Here is a 2092-nt window from a genome sequence, read left to right on the forward strand (position 1 = left end):
CCTTTGTGTAGATGAGAGAAGATGAGGGGGTATGTGGGAATTCTCTGTACTTTCTATTTAATTGTTCTTATAAATCAAAAACTGACCTCCCCAAAAGTCTGTCAATTAAAGCAAAGGCAGAATACAAATTATAACTAATGAACATAAACACTTAAAATAAAATTATTTAAATAGATCAGGATTTCATTAATTTATTAATTCATATATTTTGAAGCTATTATTAGATGTGTAAGCTTTAGAATTGTTACCTCTTTCTGATTAATTTACCACTTTATCATTATGAAATGACCTTTTTTATCTCTAGTAATACTTCTAATTTGCTTTCAAATGTACTTTGTCTGATATTAATATAGCCACTCTAGCTTTTTTTTATTCGTGTTAACATGCTGTATCTTTTCTCATAACTTCACTTGTGTCTTTATATTTAATGAGTATCTTTTCTGTAAGCAGTATATAGTTGCATTTTTCTTTTTTGTACAGTCTGACCATCTTTGCCTTTTAGTTGGAGTGATTAGACTACTTATATTTAATGTGATTATTTATTTGTCAGGCTGAAATCTAACATCTTGCCATTTGTTTTCTGTTTGTTTCATCTGTTCTTTGTTCCCCTTTTCCTCTTTTTCTGCTTTTTTTGGATCAATTGAGTATTTGAATAATTCCGTGTATTCTTCTCTTTCAGATGACTGTAAATGCAAAGTACAGCTTGCTTTGATATCTGACGGCAGGATGACATTATGCTACCACCGTTCTGTGGACATTCCATATGAACACACCAAACCTATCCCTCTAAACAGATCCTGTGCATAATAACTAAGAAACACATGACCAGGTGCTCAGAGCCAGATTAGAAGAATATGAGCACCTTGAGCAAGGACCCAGATAGACCAGCTTAGCAAAATGTTTGTTACCACTAAGCACTGTTGATATCCTCATGGACAGTATCACAGTGTCATAAAAAACTGAACCCTCCAAAAGACAGATGATTTCGAGGTTCCTGGGAATCAAAGAGAAACGTTATCCTTTGCTTCATTAGCCATTTGTGAAAATGCAATCTGTTATATTCACTAATGGATATATCATAAAAATAATAATTATAAAATCTCTTTTCATATTAAAAAATATTAAGATACAGAAGTTTTCTTATCATTTTCTGTAGTTTTATTTCTTCCTTACCCTGCATATTAATCTATTCTCACACTGCTATAAATACCCAAGACTGCGTAATTTATGAAGTAAAGAGGTTTAATTGACTCACAGTTCACTATGGCTGGGGAGGCCATATCAATTTTAAACTTACAATCAAGGCAAAAGGAGAAGCAGACACATTCTTCACAAGGCAGCTGGAGGGAGTGAGTGTGAGAGTGCGGTACCATTTATAAAACCATGAGATCTCACGAGAATGCACTATCACAAGAACAGCATGGAGGAAACCACCCCCATAATCCAATCACTTCCCTCCCTAGACACATGGGGATTACAATTCAAGATGAGATTTGGGTGGAGACACAGCCTAACCATATCACCTTGTGTCAGTTCTGTATGGAGATCTTCTGTTAGTGCCTCCTTCATGTAAATTCTCTTTCTTTCTTTTTATTTCTCTCTCTCTTTCTTTATTTCCTTTTTTTCTTTCTCTGTCTTTCTTTCTCTCTCTTTCTTCTTTCTTTTCTTTTCTTTTCTTTTACAGGGTCTCAGTCTGTCACTCAGGCTGGAGTGCAGTGGCATGATCACAGCTCACTGCAACCTCTGCCTCCTGGGCTCAAGAGATCCTCCTACCTTAGCCTCACAAGTAACTGGAACTACCGTAGGGCGCCACCACACCTGACTAATTTTTGTATTTTTTGTAGACACCATGTGGCCCAGGCTGGTCTTGAACTCCTGGGCTCAAGCAATCTGCCTGCCTCGGCCTCCCAAAGTGCTAGGATTACAGGCGTGAGCCACCGCACCCAACCATTTTTTTCTTTTTTAATGCCATATGAAACAGAAGTGTATCTTACAAGAAAAGGTGTCTTATATTAAAGGAAATATAATTTTAATATTTCCATGTTACAGATTAGGAAACTGAGGCACAGACAGGTTAGTTAGCCAAATTCAA

At 36.2% G+C, this 2092-nt stretch overlaps 1 pseudogene, besides 1 other annotated feature; it reads left to right on the forward strand.

The window, feature by feature from the left end:
* MRPL42P3 (mitochondrial ribosomal protein L42 pseudogene 3) lies at positions 645–983 on the forward strand (annotated as a pseudogene).
* Positions 1287–1487: a silencer, noted in NCBI's record as "peak6182 fragment used in MPRA reporter construct". NCBI's record gives its function as "represses an SCP1 promoter by STARR-seq MPRAs in K562 erythroleukemia cells {active_cell/tissue: K562}" and the evidence as "EXISTENCE:reporter gene assay evidence [ECO:0000049][PMID:32103011]".

Source organism: Homo sapiens, chromosome 6 (assembly GCF_000001405.40).
Source record: "Homo sapiens chromosome 6, GRCh38.p14 Primary Assembly".
In the NCBI taxonomy this organism is placed as follows: Eukaryota; Metazoa; Chordata; class Mammalia; order Primates; family Hominidae; genus Homo; species Homo sapiens.